At 39.6% G+C, this 17500-nt stretch overlaps 1 annotated feature.

The window, feature by feature from the left end:
* Window positions 16573-17073: an enhancer, noted in NCBI's record as "H3K4me1 hESC enhancer chr5:130447686-130448186 (GRCh37/hg19 assembly coordinates)". NCBI's record gives its function as "activates a minimal SCP1, AML or CMV promoter by ChIP-STARR-seq in naive H9 embryonic stem cells {active_cell/tissue: H9 hESC(naive)}" and the evidence as "EXISTENCE:reporter gene assay evidence [ECO:0000049][PMID:30033119]".

Below are 17500 nucleotides of genomic sequence, written 5' to 3' on the forward strand. Positions count from 1 at the left end.
TTTTAATTTTACTTTTATGTTCTGGGAGACATGTGCAGAATGTGCAGGTTTTTTACATAGGTATACATGTGCCATGGTGGTTGGCTGCACCTATCAACCCATCATGTAAGTTTTAAGCCCTGCATGCATTAAGTATCTGTCCTAATGCTCTCCCTCCCCTTGCCCCCCACCCCTGACAGGCCCCGGTGTGTGATGTTCCCCTCCCTGTGTCCATGTGTTCTCATTGTTCAACTCCCACTTATGAGTGAGAACATGCAGTGTTTGGTTTTCTGTTCCTGTGTTAGTTTGGTGAGAATGATGGCTTCCAGCTTCATCCATGTCCCTGCAAAGGACATGAACTCAACCTTTTTTAGGGCTGCATAATATTCCGTGGTATATATGTGCCACATTTTCTTTATCCAGTCTATCATTGACGGGCATTTGAGTTGGTTCCAAGTCTTTGCTATTGTAAATACTGTTGCAGTAAACATACGTGTGCATGTGTATTTATAGTAGAATGATTTATACTCCTTTGGGTATATACCCAGTAATGGGATTGCCGGGTCAAATGGTATTTCTGGTTCTAGATCCTTGAGGAATCACCACACTGTCTTCCACAATGGTTGAACTAATTTACACTCCCACCAACAGTGTAAACACATTCCTATTTCTCCACAGCCTCACCAGCATCTGTGATTTCCTGACTTTTTAATAATCACCATTCTGACTGGCATGAGATGGCATCTCATTGTGTTTTTTATTTGCATTTCTCTAATGACCAGTGATGATGAGCTTTTTTTCATGTTTATTGGCCGCATAAATGTCTTCTTTTGAGAAGTATCTGTTCATATCCTTTGCCCACTTTTTGATGGGGTTATTTTTCTCTTGTAAATTTGTTTAAGTTCCTTGTAGAATCTGGATATTATCCCTTTATCAGAGGGATAGATTGCAAAATTTTTCTCCCATTCTGTAGGTTGCCTGTTCTTTTTATTTTTATTTTGTTTTAATTTTTTTTTGAGACAGGGTCTCACTCTGTTGCCCAGGCTAGAGTGCAGTGGTGTGAAAGCAGCTCACTGCAGCCTCAACCTCCTGGTGATCCTCCCACCTCAGCCTCCCAAGTAGCTGGGACTACAGGCACACACCGCTACACTTGGCTAATTTTTCAAATTTCTTTAGAGACAAAGTCTCACCATGTTTCCCAGGCTGGTCTTGAACTCCTGAGCTCAGCCGATCGTCCCACCTCAGCCTCTGAAAGTGCTGGGATTACAATTGTGAGCCACTGTGCCCAGCCCTTAATATATTTTTATTTTAGAAAGCAAAAATGAAAACTTAATTTTAATATTCATTTCCATTTTGCTTTTAGGAAAAAAAAGCTAACAGATTTTACAGAACCTTTTAAATTTTTTCTTAAAAAGAAATGAAAAGCACACTACATTACCATTCATGTTCTTTCTACTTTTAAACTTTGTCAGACTTTGATGTTTTAAACCTTTCATAAGCAAAAGTGAGTCATAGCACTATAATCAAGTTAATACCTGACTCCTTCTTGATATCAAGGGGTTTCTCTTGTGCAATTAGCTTCACCTGAAGTGGAGTCAGTAGGTGGGAATGGAGGTGTACAGCTCTTTGTTCACTCTGATTAACAAGTTCCACTTCCCAACAGTTTCTTGAGAAACCCAGTAAATTATCAAGACCAGTCAAAGTTCTAGTCCATTCACATCAACATTAGTGGAATTCCTGCGCTCTAACCAAAAGAAACATATCAAATGATCTACAAGCATTTAAGGAAAGAGCCTCTACTGTCAACCACTCTTTTAAAGACCAACAGGATCAAGTGAAATGACAAAGCCAGCTCTTAGTCTCAGACATCATCAAATGGGGCTAGACATACAAATAGTACTTAATGGTTGATCCTCCCTCTCTCTCCTTTCCTGCTTCTGTCACTCTCCCGCCTACCATCTTTCTCAATCTGTGTAAGTTTCCTATGGCTACTGTAACAAGTTACCACAAAGTTAGTGGCTTAAAACAACACAAATGTACTATGTTACAGAAGATCAAAGTGGGTCTCACTGGTCTATAATCAATGTGTCATCAAGGCTGCATTCCTCCCAGAGCCTCTGTGGAGAATCTGTTTCCTTGCCTTTTCCCACTTCCAGATGTCATCTGGATTCTTTGGCTTGCAGCCTTTTCTGCATCTTTGAATAAATGATCACAACACTTTGACCACTGCTTTCATCATCACATCTCCTTCTCTGACTCTGACAGACTCCTTGAACTCTCTCTTCTATTTTCAAGGACCCTTGTGATTACATTGGGCCCACCCAGATATCCAGAATAATCTCCCCATTATTAGCAACTGTAATTTCATCTACAACTATAATATCCTTTTCCATGTAATTTAACATGGTCACAGGTTCCGGAAATTAGCATGTAGACATATTTGAGGGGCCATTATTCTTCCTACCACATCATCTTTCTCCCTCTTAAGCCATTACAAGGCAAAAGTACTTTTTCAGGTCAAAAATAAGTCTAGGATTATGAAAATGTTCTAAAATTACATAGTGGTAAGAATGGCACAACCTTGTGAAAATCCTAAAAAAAAAAAAACACACAAAAAACCCACTGGGTTGTATACTTTAAAAGGGTAAATTTTATGTTGTGTGAATTATATTTCAATAGCATATATCTCAAAAAATACATTTTAAGTTGACTAAGTTCTATCCATCTTGCTGTTTGCTGTTCTATTGCTTTACCTATAGCAAGAACTAATACTCACAGTTACTCCTTCTCTAACTTCATCCAATTCAACTCTCTCCTGAGTTGGAATAAGATTATTGAATCCAAAAGTATCAAATTCTAGAAAGATTAAAGAAGAAGCAGATAAGCAATAATATAGTGTGTCTTGGAACTCCAGGGAGGTTTCAGCTAACTGACGCTTTCAGACCCAGGATCAAACTCAGTCATGCTCTAGCAGACCTTCTCATTGGGCTCTACGTAATTTAGAATAATCCCCAAGTAAATGAAACACATATTTGAAAATGTCTTGGGAAGGTATATGGAAAAGTTTGAATGGTACATGGTAGTAAATATACTGAAGGAGGAAAAAGATACAGTTACCTATCAGCTGCAGCCATACCCCAAAATAAGCAAGTGAAAGTCCTATGTAGCCAGGAAGAATCTCAGGTGGGTTTAATGACACCAAATCATCAAGAAGATACAAGGAGGAAGAGAAGGAGAGGGAGAGGGAGGAGGAGGAGAAAAGGAGCCCAGGAGTTCTTTATCTGAGACCACAGACTTAAATCACATAGACTCAACTGGTAGGCTTTATTCTGACAACAGAACCTGAGCATAGATGGGAATGTTGATGCAAGTATCCCAGGGATGGCGGGGAGGGAGAGATAAATATGATGTAGATAAGAGGTTTAGAAAACTTATTGCTATACACCTCAAAAATCTATACGTAGAATATGTGTGGTAATTTGGAGCAAGCTCTCCCAGCTTCATGTGTCTGGCATCAACTTGGTTAGAAGGAAGAAAATATTACAAATATGTAGGGAGCATAACAACAGAGAAGGTGCAGTGACAGACAACACTGAAAACTGAACCCTTGGACTGCCATCCATGTTGGGGTATCCACAGTAAAACAACCAACCAGTTACCCTGGCTGTCTCCCTTATCTGTCTACTCACCTTAGGGAAAATTCAAAACTGATGTTGAGGAAAATGGTATTTGTATCTATTAAAACTACTTTTATTCACTCTGAAAAGTGCCTTTATTCTTCAGAAAATCTCATAACATTTATTAATCCTCCCACACTGCTGTCATAAAAGACAAGCCTGAGACGAGCTTTTTTTTTTTTTTTTTTTTTTGCTTTGAGTTTGCATTTCAAAGAATATGATGATGGAAAGGAGATTTTAAGAATTTACAATGAACTCGGTAAGTTATTTACTGCTGAACTTTTCCTTCACTCTCACCAAGGGAGCACATTTATTATGTTTTCTCTGTGCATTTACATTTCTGAGAAGCCTCCAGAAATGGAAGTGGAGAATTAGTATATTTACTCTGCAGCCAGGAAGACTCTTCATTTTTCAAAAGCTCATAATACCAATGGAATACTTGAGTCAAATGTATTTCTTGGCTAGAGGTTGTGTCAGTCTAGCTTGATTTTTCAAACTGTGATCAATCCATTTCCACATTGCTCCTTCAGCTGGAGCAATTGCTCATTGTACTTTGCCCCTGAAATCTCCGAAAACATAGGTTACAAATTTTCTAGTTTTAGATGGGGTGGGAAAACTCTTTGATGTTTTTGAGGTGAAAATTACCCATCAAAGAAGTGGAGTTAAGTATATACTCCAGAAAAAAATTATATCCTAGTAAAAAATTATATCCTTTTTAGAAAAACAAAAACCAAAGTTCCTGTAATTTAATGAACACATTTTATTTATTTCAAACTAATTTTATCCCAGTCTCTCATAAATCCAAGGAAATGTTAAGACAATCAAACCAAAATTATCAGTAGGTTTATCACCCAAGTTGTGACTTACCCAAAACAAATTAGGAAACCCCAAATTGCTTCTGCATACAATATTTCTGCCCTATTCCACCTCCCCACCCAAAAAGAAAAGCTCACACACATGGTGTCAATTTGTTAGTCTTTCTGGATTGTAATAAAGCTTCATACAGTAAAATCCTATTATGGGATAACTTGCTGTCCTACAGATTTGAGGGACAACATGAAATATATAAGTCATTTCTTTCCCAAACACAAGTAGTTGGGTTTTAATGCAATTAGCCTAAGCTGTAAACTGTCAGGAAAATAAAATAATAATCAGTTTCTCAAATAGGTTATCCAAAAGCAGGATTTCTCAACCTTGGCACTATTAACATTTGGGGCCAGATAATGCTACATTGTGGGGGCTGTCCCGTGCATGGTGGGATGTTTAGCAGCATCCTTGGCTCCCACCCACTAGATGCCAATAAAACCTCCTCAAGTTGTGATAACCAAAAATGCATTCAGACATTACTATAAATCCTCCAAAGAGCAAAATCACCCTCTGTTCAGAAGCAGTGATCTAAAGTAATTCAAATATTAGGTCATTGATTAGGATCATCAACCCTACTGCTCTTCTTCCTTTGCCTACATGAATAACTGGAAGTACATTTTCTCATAGAGTAGTTTAAGTGTTAAAGTATATTTTTGCAAAATGGGTTCCTAGACCTACGCAGAGCCCAATTCCACACCCAATGGCAATTTCACAGGGCAAACACCTTCTAGATTGACGGTAAAATTGCTTTGCTCGGCCGGGCACAGTAGCTCCCGCCCATAATCCCAGCACTTTGGGAGGCCAAGGCCTGTGGATCACAAGGTCAGGCATTCCAGACCAGCCTGGCCAACATAGTGAAACCCCGTCTCTACTAAAAATACAAAAAATTAGCCAGGCATGGTGGCGGGTGCCTGTAATCCCAGCTGCTCAGGAGGCTGAGGCAGGAGAATTGCTTGAACCCGGGAGGCAGAGGTTGCAGTGAGCTGAGAATGCGCCACCGCGCTCCAGCATGAGCGACAATGCAAGACTCCATCTCAAAAAAAAAAAAATTGCTTTGCCTACAAATTGTTCAGTAATTCTTTCCTTTTCTCATGTAAGCCCACCTTTTCTATCAGGACAATTAACAAGCCTTTCTCCCTGTGATGCCTTTCAGAACCTTGGGCACCTCTTGCAAATCTCACCCCATACTGTTTCTTGGGCCAACACTGGTTGCCTTACTTTGTAAGCTGTACAGTTCCCCTCAGTTGATTAATATTCAAATTTTCTTGGGAGACAGTTTTTCAGTAAAGGGTCTATTAGACACATCATGTGTTACAGTTTAGAGTTTTCTTTTGGTTAGTTTGGTGCTTTTGTAAAATATCTGTATCCTTTTCATTCATGATATACATGTATATATATGTTATCAACCTAATAAAACAACAGAGAGAGTGGCTCTAAAATTAGCTTATTCAGGAATAAATGACAAATTGCAATCCAGGAATACACATGCCATGGTGAACCATGGAGGGAGCACAGACCTCTAAGGAGGCAAAGGACGGCAACGGTTTTCAAAGGCAAAATGAGGAAGGTTAGGTACATTATTTTGAAATAATTATCTTTGGCTACAGGGATCAATAACAAGGGTGGCATCAGTTCAAGGCTGACTAGACAGTTGTTGGGCAGATGCACTTCCAGAAGTAGTCGTTGTATAAAGTTGCAGTGGCCTTTGTGCAAGGTTGTGATTTTCAGAGAGTCTTTCTAATAGTTTTCATCATAGGAATGTGTGTGTGAGAGCCCCTCCTTTATGGCCTTCTGACTTCATTTTGTTAGGGTTTGGCATAAGTGACTTCATTTTGATTCTAACGACTTTCATTGTGTGCGTGTGTGTGTGTGTGTGAATATATATCCTGAGATTGCAAAAAGATGTTTTTCTCAGATCTCCCTAAGCCTTTTTTTAACCTTTTTAGCTATTCCTTTCTTTTTTTCTTACAAATAACTGCAATCTATACTAGTACTTTTTCTGAATTTCAGTTTTGCTATGATTATTTTTTTGTTTTCCCTTTCACTAGAATTGTCAGAGGTGTGTAAACCAGAGCAACTCCATCTTGAATAGGGGCTGGGTAAAAAAGGCTGAAATGTACTGGACTGCATCCCTGTCTCTACTGAAAATACAAAAATTAGCTGGCATGGTGGTGGGTCCCTGTAATCCCAGCTACTCAGGAGGCTGAGGCATGAGAATCACTTGAACCCGGGAGGCAGAGGTTTCAGTGAGCCTGTTTCCCACCCCTCTGTTTCAAGCTCAGTGTATGCTCCTTGGCTCTGCTTAAGCATGTGTGTCAATGGCTCTCAAGCATACCCCCATCTTTCAGTGTTTCAGAGTCCACAGGGGCGAAAAAGGGGTCATTCTACTGTGACACAAGAGAGCTGTATGTAGGGCAACTGCCCTCTGTCAGCTGCCAGGGGACCTGTTAGCCATGGGAAGCAATATATACTATTGGAGCTGATCTTGCTCAATGTCTTCTCTGTGTGAGTAAAAGCACTGTCCCATCCAGTGCTTGACTGTGTTGTTTTCCTTGGTGATTCCAATGCCAAGTTGGACTTCTCTTCCTGGTGGTTGACACGGTGATGATCTTTGCTATCCTTCATGTAGTTGGTGTCCTCCCTGGCATTAGTAACTAGTGCATGGTGTTGTGCTCTGTACAAAATGAAAGAAGGAATCCTGGGGTGTGATTCAGCTGAAAGAATATGTCCAACATGGATGATCTAGAACTTCAAGGTTTATCTTCAAACAAACATACAGGTGTAGGGAAATAGGGCTTAAAGGAACCCTAGCAGCAGAGCTGTTATCAAACCTGGTCAGAAGAGATGAGGGAAGAAGGGTACTAGAACCCAAAAGGAGAAAGAGTTCAATAGAGAAGGCCAGCTTGAGAGATGCAAGGATCTTAATTGAAGGAAACAGCCCTTGTAGTGAAGAAGCCAGGAGAATATCAGCCTAACCTCAAACTTTTTCTCCCATCCCCAGATGGGTGTTCTTCACACCCTACTGGAAGCCAGAGAGCCTAGGAACCCTGTTTAATTAATCATACTACAGATCAGCCTCCTAGGCTGATCCACAAGATGAATCTCTAGGAGAAAACAGAAGACATTGGTATATATATATATGATATATATATCAGATATATATCATATATATCTGATATATATATCATATATGTATCTATATATATATCATTTATATATATATCCTAGTTGGCCTCCTTGCTTTTAACCTTCTTCCACCCCCACCTCTTTACAGCAATCAGAATGATTCTTCAAAATTAAATTTACTACCCTGATTAAAATGGACTGCCCTTCAGCCTGTCTCATTCCACTTAGAATTCCATAATGAACAATTTTCGTATCTTGCCCTTCAAGATTCTCTCTAAATAATTTGGATCCCACGCATCACTCCACCTCACCTAGTTTCACTTTTCCCTTTGCTCGCTATGCTCTAGTCATATTCATCTGTCAGTTTCTAGAAAATGCCAACATTTCCACCCTTAAATTAAGCCTTTATACTTGCTGATGCATCTTCTTGGGAAGCTCTTCCTTAACTTTTCATGCATCTAGCTTTCCTATGGCCATCAAGTTTCTGCATAAATATGTCACCTCCTCAGAAAAGACTTCCATGATCGCCCAATTGCAATGCTTGGTTATTTCACTAATAACACAGTGGAATGTGCAATTATGTTATTTATTCACTTTTCTACTTGTCTATTGTTTGTCTTGCCTATTAGAACATAAGATCCAGCCAGGCGTAGTGGCTCATGCCTGTAATCCCAGCACTTTGGGAGGCCGAGGTGGACAGATCACCTGAGGTCAGGAATTCAAGACCAGCCTGACCAACATGGCAAAACCCTGTCTCTACTAAAAATAAAAAATTAGCTGGGCGTAGTGGTGCACACCTGTAATCCCAGCTACTCAGGAGGCTGAGGCCGGAGAATCGCTTGAACCTGGGAGGCAGAGGTTGCAGTGAGCCGAGATCGTGCCATTGCACTCCAGCCTGGGCAACAAGAGTAAAACTCCATCTCAAAAAAAAAAACAAACAACAAAAAAAACGTAAGATCCACAAATCTAAGGAATCTTCCTAACTTGTTCACCAGTGCATCCCCAGTTACTACCATAGTGCATAAAGTAGGTATTCAGAAACCATTTGTTAAAGGAATGAGTGATTTCTAGTCAAAAGGGTCATCTTTAGTAACCCACCTTCATCTTTAATCAATCATTTATTGATGTTACTAATTTCTTAACGAGGTGCCTCTGTCACCATTGTGGTACTGATATTAAGTAGTCATCTGTTTAAAACTAACAAAGATTCATTAGAAGTCATGGTGCCCTGGAAATTCTCAAAGACTGGAAAATGTAATACAGTTCTACAGGGGGTGTTTTTTGAGGGAAAGACTGAGTAAACCTAAGACTTCTGCTTGAGCATTAAAGAAGAAATAGAAGCAAGTCTCAGAAACATTGATCTTCAGTGAACCTCCTAAGAAAAAGAACAGAGGAATATTCTCAGGCTCAGAATACCTACCTGAGAACACAGAAATAGTGTATATATTCTTTGGTTATTGTGAAAGCCCAGCCTCACACTAAACCACAATCACATTGTCAGGAAAAGGCTTTTATCATTCCTCTGACTCACAAAAAAAAAAAAAGCGTGCAAAGGGGAAAAGGAAGTCTTCTTTCTACTGCAGTATAGAAAACCAATTATAGAAAGTTGTGTAATTAGAGCTTCTACAGAGTCAACTTGTTTGGCCAACAATCACATAGATCCTAAGCAGTGGATGGTGATGAAAATTTGGCCAAGGGGAAATATCTTAACCATGTACACAACTAACTGATTAGTAGTAGAATGAAGGTCTTCAGACAAATTCTCCATTTCACTTTTTAACCACATCACAATAAAACAATCTTAAAATAAAATGAATAACTTCTTAATATTTCATCATGCTTACTCCATACAAATGTACAAGCCTACATGGTACATATTGTCAATAAAGAGGATACAGAGTTGGCCGGGTGTGGTGGCTCATGCCTATATTCCCAGCACTTTGGGAGGCCAAGGCGGGTAGATCACCTAAAGTCAGGAGTTTGAGATCAGCCTGGCCAACATGGTGAAACACCGTCTCTACTAAAAATACAAAATTAGCCAGGCATGGTGGCAGGTGCCTGTAATCCCAGCTACTTGGGAGGCTGAGGCAGAGAATCACTTGAACCCAGGAGGCAGAAGTTGCAGTGAGCTGAGATTGCACCACTGCACTCCTGCCTGGGCAAAAAGAGTGAAACTCCGTCTTAAAAAAAAAAAAAGGATACAGAATAAATCAGTTTTCCTCTCACTTCCATTACGTATAGAAAGTTATTTAATAGACCCTTTAAGTATTCTGTTGACTTGTTTGTGTGCCAATCTGGGCAGATAAACTCTTAGCTCCGAACCCCAAGGTAATCCTAATTATGCCAAGCCTTTGAATACCTCTAAGAATGTGGCATCCCATACTGCAGCTGACAGTTCTAATGATAACCATCCAATACAGGTCAGTGAATATTTTTCAAAGCCTCTTGACCCAGTGCAGAGGAATGCTTAGTGCCTTCAAGGCAGAGGCATTTCCCAAAAGTCTGGAAAGAAAACTGGAAACCTTTGGTTTTCCATTTATTCCAGACAATGAAAGCAAATCCTGAAATCTTTTTATCTCTCTGCAAATGTCTACAATATTCACAACATATTCAGAGACTTGAGATTCATAAGGATGTAGGACTACATATACCCTTTGGGCACTCCAACAGAAATTTCCTGACTAACTTTCCCAGCCTCGAATTTCTTCCAGAGGGAGAGATGATCTCTTCTTCCTGACTTGATTACAGTCCAGTGTAAGCATTTGGGAAGAACATAATGCCATTCCTAAAGTTTTCAGTGGTCAAAAGTCAGCTTGTCCCAGCTCTTCATTCATTCTCCATTTACTAAATCATTAATTCAGTTGGCTAGTCAGCAGGCACTTACTGAGAGCTGCTTTATCTGAATGAGGTTAGGGATATAGAAAATAATGGGCAGCCTCCATTTAAATAGGAGAATTATAAACATCACACATGCAGCAAGGCCATAGAGAAGCATAGACATTGCTGTTGGTGCAGCCAATAGAGAGATCGCTACAAATGGAGTAGACAAGGAAGATTTTATTGAAGAAAAAAAAAAGATACCAGGGCTTAGCTTGGACAGGTGATAAATGCATGGATACAGAGAAAAAACAAAACAGATAAATAAAGTATGGAAGTGTACTAAGGCATGAATGCACTGCTAAACCTACTGCAGAGGGTCCTGATAAGGGTGTAATGGAAGACAGCATTGGAAATGTGTGCTAGAACCAGACTGTCGAAATCCTTGAATGCCAATTTGGGCTTAATCTTCTAAATAACAGAGAAGTTCTAATGTTCTTGAGTAGAAGAATAATAGAATTATAACATATTAGAACTAAGGTTCTCAAAAATATTAAAAATAAAAAATAGAACTAACCACATGATTAAGCAATCCCATTTCTGGCTATATATCCAAAGAAATGAAATCAGTATGTGGAAGAGATATATGTACTCCCATATTTATTGCAGCATTATTTACAGCAGCCAAAATATGGAATCAATCTGTGTCCATTACCAGATGAATGGATTTTAAAAAATGTGCTATATATGTACACAATTGAATAGTATTCAGCCTTACAAAAGAAGAAAATCATGTCACTTATAACAACATGGATGAACCTGGAGGACAATATGCTAAGTGAAATAAGCCAGGCACAGAAAAACAAATACTGCATGAACTCACTTATATGTAAAATCTAAAAAAGTTGAACTCATAGAAGCAGTGTGGGATGGTGTACCAGGGGCTGCAGGGAGGAGGGGAGTGGGGAGATGTTAGTCAAAGGATACAAAATTTCAATTAGATAGGAAGAATAAGTTCACGAAATCTATTGTACAACTTGGTGACTGTAGTTAATAACAAGTATTGTAGTCTTGGAAATTGCTAAAACATATTTTAACTGTTCTCATCACAAAAAAAAAAGGTGATAAGTATGTGAGGTAATGCATATGTTAATTAGCTCAATTCAGTCATTCCACAAATTATACATATTTCAAAACAACATGTTGTGCATGATAAATATATACAATTTTTTGTCAGTTAAAATCTTTTAAACAAAAAAATCAACTGGAATTGCACAATATTAAACGTAATAATATCTTTGAACTGGAAATGCCTTTAGAGATCTAAGTAGCACCTTTCAAAGACGAATATGGAAATAATGCCTGGCTAGATTAGAAGACAGAGAGTCTAGGGGTGAGAAGCTAAGTGACAGATGATAAGGGTTTAAACTTAGAGTGATGACTTCAGAAGTCAAGAGGAAGAGTCTAATATGGGAGATGTTATGAAGTACGAACTGACAGACTGATCACGATGTAAAAGGAAGAGAGAGGAATCTACAGTAACATCAGTTTCAACCCTTGGTGAACACAGCGATGATAGTACTCACCATTTTAAAAAAAAAAAAAGTCTTTTTGTGAGTAGGGGTGTAATGATGACAGTTTATGGTCAAGTTCAGCTGAGGTGAACAGAGGATCCAAGTGCATTTCCACCAAGTGGTTGGAGATTTATGACTAGGATTCAGAAGTGTTCAAAGCTAAGGATGTGGATTTGGAAGTCATTTGTATAGAGGAAGTTTCTGCCAATATTGAAACTATGGTCCTACAACAGCTTCTGGCTTCTGAGAAGTCACAGATATTGTGTCTCTTTTATGTGGACACACAAGAAAATCATGCCCTATGTTTTTGTTATCCCAAGAGAGAGAAGAGTAGGCTGAGCATACTCCACAACTAGTATTTTTCATCAAAGAACACAATAAATATAATAAAGTCGATCTGTGTAATGTAAAACAATAAGGACTTCTTCTTATTTGTCTTTGCATTTCCCATGGCTTGCACATAGTAATTGGTTCCCAAAATACTTGTTGATTGAATTCAGATGAAAGCTAGCTTTTAAGATAATTAACATAACTAAAATAGTTATTGAGAACAGTTTACAATGCTCAGTTTTTATCCTATGTAAGTACTGTTGGGAAATAGTAGAAAGCCCAAAGAAACTGGAAAAGGTTGGGTTGTGTATTTCTCAAAATGGAAGGAAAAAGATGAAAATTCTTCCTTTTGTACCCTAATTAATCATTAGCAAAAATTTTGAAACCAAAATATCAACTTTTAATCATTATCATCATTGTTAATCTTCCCAAGCAGTACTTAGATTTGTGCCATAAAATTTAACATCTGCTTATATATTCTTTTCTTTATCCTCAAAATTATAGAAACAAAATTTTAGAACTGGAAAAACCTCACTGCATGATAAAAATTTAGGATGCTAATAGTTGTTCAACATCCGGTATATCTTAGCTCCTGGCCTGAAACTGCACATTTGTGAAGTCTATATTCCTTGCTTGTTTGAAATCTTCCAGGTTAGCAGAATGTTCAGTACATGGTTTTACTGAAGCCTCAAACTCCTGGGCTCAAGCAGTCCTCCCACCTCAGCCTCCTGAATAGCTGAGACTACAGGCACATGCCACCATGCCAGACTATTTTATTTTTTATTTTTTGTAGGGACAGGGGTCTTTCCATATTGCCCAGGCTGATCTCAAACTCCTGCTCTCAAGCAATCATCCCACCTCAGCCCCCAAAAGCACCAGGATTACAGGCATGGGCCACCACACCTAGCCCAATACAATGATATTTAACAAGCACTTTTTGATTTGTACACAGGTCTGCCAAGCAAGAATTTTATTTTATTTTATTTTATTTTATTTTTATTTTTAGACAGAGTCTCACTCTGTCACCCAGGCTGAAATGCAGTGGCACCGTCTTGGCTCATTGTAACCTCCACCTCTCAAGTTCAAACAATTCTCATGCCTCAGCCTCCCCAGTAGCTGGGATTACAGGTGCGCGACCACGCCAACCTAACTTTTGTATTTTTAATAAAGATAGCATTTCACCATGTTGGCCAGGCAAAAGTGATCTGCCTGCCTTGGTCTCCCAAAGTGATGGCATTACAGGTGTGAGCCACCATGCCTGGCCTGCCAAGCAAGACTTTAAACATACAAATGCCTTCCCTCAAAAAACAAAAAAACAAAAACTATATCTTGCTCAAATTAAGAGCTACAAAGCTTTTTTTGACATTAATCAAGTGATAGAAAAATAATGGTGTCAGTGAAGGTCCTAGGCTTTATGGAATAAGGTAGCAAGGTAAATGCTATCTTTTTTTTTTTTATGAGACGGAGTCTCGCTCTGTCGCCCAGGCTGGAGTGCAGTGGTGCAGTCTTGGCTCACTGCAACCTCCGCCACCCGGGTTCAAGCAATTCTCCTGCCTAAGCCTCCCAAGTAGCTGGGACTACAGGCGCGCACTACCACACCTGGCTAATTTTTGTATTTTTAGTAGAGATGGGGTTTCACCATGTTGGCTAGGATGGTCTCGATCTCCTAACCTCGTGATTTGCCCGCCTCTGCCTCCCAAAGTGCTGGGATTACAGGCGTGAGCCACCACACCTGGCCGTAAATGTTATCTTTCAAATAAAGCAAATAGTAAGTGAGTAAGCTTAAAACTAGTCATTTGGGCATTTTGCCCACGTATCCTCATTTATTATACATATTTTTGCATTTTTTTAGTTTACCAGTGTCCTCCCAGAGACCTACCTATAGATTAGTCTAGAAGTCAGACTATAGGGGTAGTTTCAACAAGATGTCTTGATCCCTGTGTAAGGGACATGTGTAAACCTTGTATACATCTCTTTGTAATTTCACTTCTACATTTAAGGAGTGAACAGACCAGCATCAGCATCAAGTTCCTGGTTTCCCAGAAGGATACTTCTGAGTCACAACAGCAAAACCAGCAGTTGTCCCAAGCACAAGGCTAGGATTCTCTCACCTTCCTCAGAGGAATCCATCAGACAAAATGAAAGGCAGTTATATAAACATTCAGAGTAAACATTCAATTGTCCTTCTGATTATGTTGAACACACACACACATACACACATGCACACACAAAGTGGTCAGAGGGCATGGAAGCTTTTCAGGAAAGACTTGTAAATTTAACAAGCACAACTTCAAACAAAGCGTTTCATATTAGACTGCAGAATCCAGTGAAGAATCTGCAGGATTAGTGTTAATTTAATAAATAGTGCTGCTCTGCCCCTCTGTGGGAATACTGAGAAGTGCATGAGAAGATGCACAGAATTCAGAATCAACTAATACAGATACCATTAGTTAGAGAAAGAGGCTAAGTACAAATAAAATCCAGAGGCTTCTCTTCTAATACGAAATCCATGCCAAATATTTATATTTTCTGAGTATAGTGTCACTAGATGCAAAACGATAAGATATAAATGACTTGGAACGTGATTTGCAAATGTCAGTTTTAAATTCATCTACTTTTAAAGTTGAATTCAATGTATCTATATACTTATTTTCTATTTCTTCCACGTGAAATGTCACTCGGTGGTGTATAAAACATGGTTACAAGTTTAAAAGTGAAACACAGGGATAACAGTGATAATTAACATTGATTGAGTGATTGCTATATATCAGGCACCAGGCAAATATTAATTCTTTTAATCTTCATACACAACACTCTGAGGGAGACAGGAAACCTCATGGTATACAGGACACCTCAAAGACCTTTAGGTAAATACATAAGCCCAAGACCACTTCTCAAGTGAGAGTCAGAATCCAAGTCCAAGTATCCTACCTCCCAGTGCAGCATTTATTTCACTTACACAAAGATGTTTGGTTCACAGCCCTGAAGAGAAACCATTTACCAGACTAACCTTGATTAAGAAATGTCTATCAAAACTGAATAAACAGAAAGTATTGCAACTGCATCTGACAATTACATGTTTTCTTCCTACTGTTTTTAATATTGAAAGAAAAAGATGCTGACAAAATTATGAAAAAAAAGCATGACAATTATTTATTCCATTATATATTAAGCAGGCTCACTTTAAAATAAGTTGATTAGCATTAAAGTCTTATCTGAAGGCCCACAATGAACTTGAAATGATTCTACTTTCCCGAAGTTTATATATTTTCCCCCATGATCAAACATAATTAAATCCTGTTTCTAAAATCTAGACATCCATATGAGAGTTCCCAAGGAGTTCCTATGGCTTGGTCTTCACAAGGCATCTACTTTCTGCCTGGTTCCTATTTGTTTGCTTATTTATTTGTTTTTGGATTTTGTTTTGTTTAGTTTTTTTTTTTTGCTTTGGTTTTTGTTTTGTCTAGTGTTTTTGTTTTTGTTTGGTTTTGTTTCTTTTGTCACTATGGAGCTATAACACCAACCATCATTTAGATTTGTAACCTTCAATCTTGTGAAAACGTTTTGAAAACTCCAGGCTAAATTTTTATTTCTTCAGTAAGCTCCTGGAAATCAAGATACTTTATATTTTCAAAAATAAAATTCCTACCCCCAAACTGACTGTGCTCATGGCAGTTTACAACTACTACCAGGAATGAACAAATAAAAGGACTAGGATCAAGTTAACACCGACTTGATAGAACACAGTTTCAAACTTACAAGTGGGTTACAAAAAGTTAATTGGCAAGTCAAATGAATGGAAATTGTGATGGGTTTTCCCATTCATTTACTTATTTTTTTTCTATTTACATTATGGCTTACAAAATAATAAATAATTTTTTTTTTGAGACAGAGTTTTGCTGTTGTTGCCAGGCTGGAGTGCAATGGCACAATCTGGGCTCACCACAACCTCCACCTCCCAGCTTCAAGCGGTTCTCCTGCCTCAGCCTCCCTAGTAGCTGAGATTACAGGCATGTGCCACCATGCCCGGCTAATTTTGTATTTTTAGTACAGACAGGATTTCTCCATGTTGGTGAGGTTGGTCTCAAACTCCCAACCCCAGGTGATCCGCCCGCCTCGGCATCCCAAAGTGCTGGGATTACAGGCATCAGCCACCACGCCCAGCAATAATAAATAAATTTGCAAAAGCTTTTTTTTTTTCTTTCCCATACTGGGTCTTACTCTGTTACCCATGCTGGAGTGCAGTGGCAGGATCTCGACCCACTGCAGCCTCAACCACCTGTGCTCAAGCAATCCTCTCGCCTCAGCCTCCCGAGTAGAGATTGCAGGCACCTGCCACCACGCCCAGCTAATTTTTGTATTTTTAGCAGAGACGAGATTTCGCCATATTTGCCAGGTTGCTCTCGAACTCCTGACCTCAAGTGACCCACACGCCTCAGCCTCCCAGAGTGCTGGGATTACGGGAGCCACCGCGTCTGGCTAATTTTTTATTTTTTTTTTGGAGATGGGTTCTCATTATGTTGCCCAGGCTGGTCTCCAACCCCTTGGCCTCAAGCGATCCACCCACCTCGGCTTCCCAAAGTGCTAAGATTACAGGCCTGACCACCGCGCCCCGCTGGGTTTTCGCATTTAAAAGCTAATAGTAATAGCATTTACTTTTAGTAAAGCTTGTTGTTGTCATAAAATGTTTAATCATTAGACCCCTGCAAGATAGGCGCCTCCCCCGGGCCCCACACCTTGAGGTCCTGCTCTGAACCTGCTCCTGCTCACCCCTCTGCCTGTGCCTGGAGCTAGGAAATCACAGGGACGTGGGACACGCCCACCCAGAGTCGGCCACTTCTACAGGTACCTGCGCTGCCTAGCGTGCAGGGCGCCTAAGCAGGGAGGTGTCTGGTAGAGAGATGGAAGAAGCATGGTCAAGAGAGTTGCAGTGTCCGCACGCTGTGCACGAGCCCCCTCGCTATGAGGTGCTGGGCAGAGCTGCCACTGGAACAGAAGGAAAAAGGGGGTGGCCCGTGGACTTAGAGCTGCATTGGGAGCCAGCCCTCCCTGCAGAGCCACATTCTGACAGAAATCCCCTATGAGTCTGAAAAATCTGAACCTAGCCTTCCAGATCCTTACTAAGGTATA

Source organism: Homo sapiens, chromosome 5, assembly GCF_000001405.40.
Source record: "Homo sapiens chromosome 5, GRCh38.p14 Primary Assembly".
NCBI lineage: Eukaryota > Metazoa > Chordata > Mammalia > Primates > Hominidae > Homo > Homo sapiens.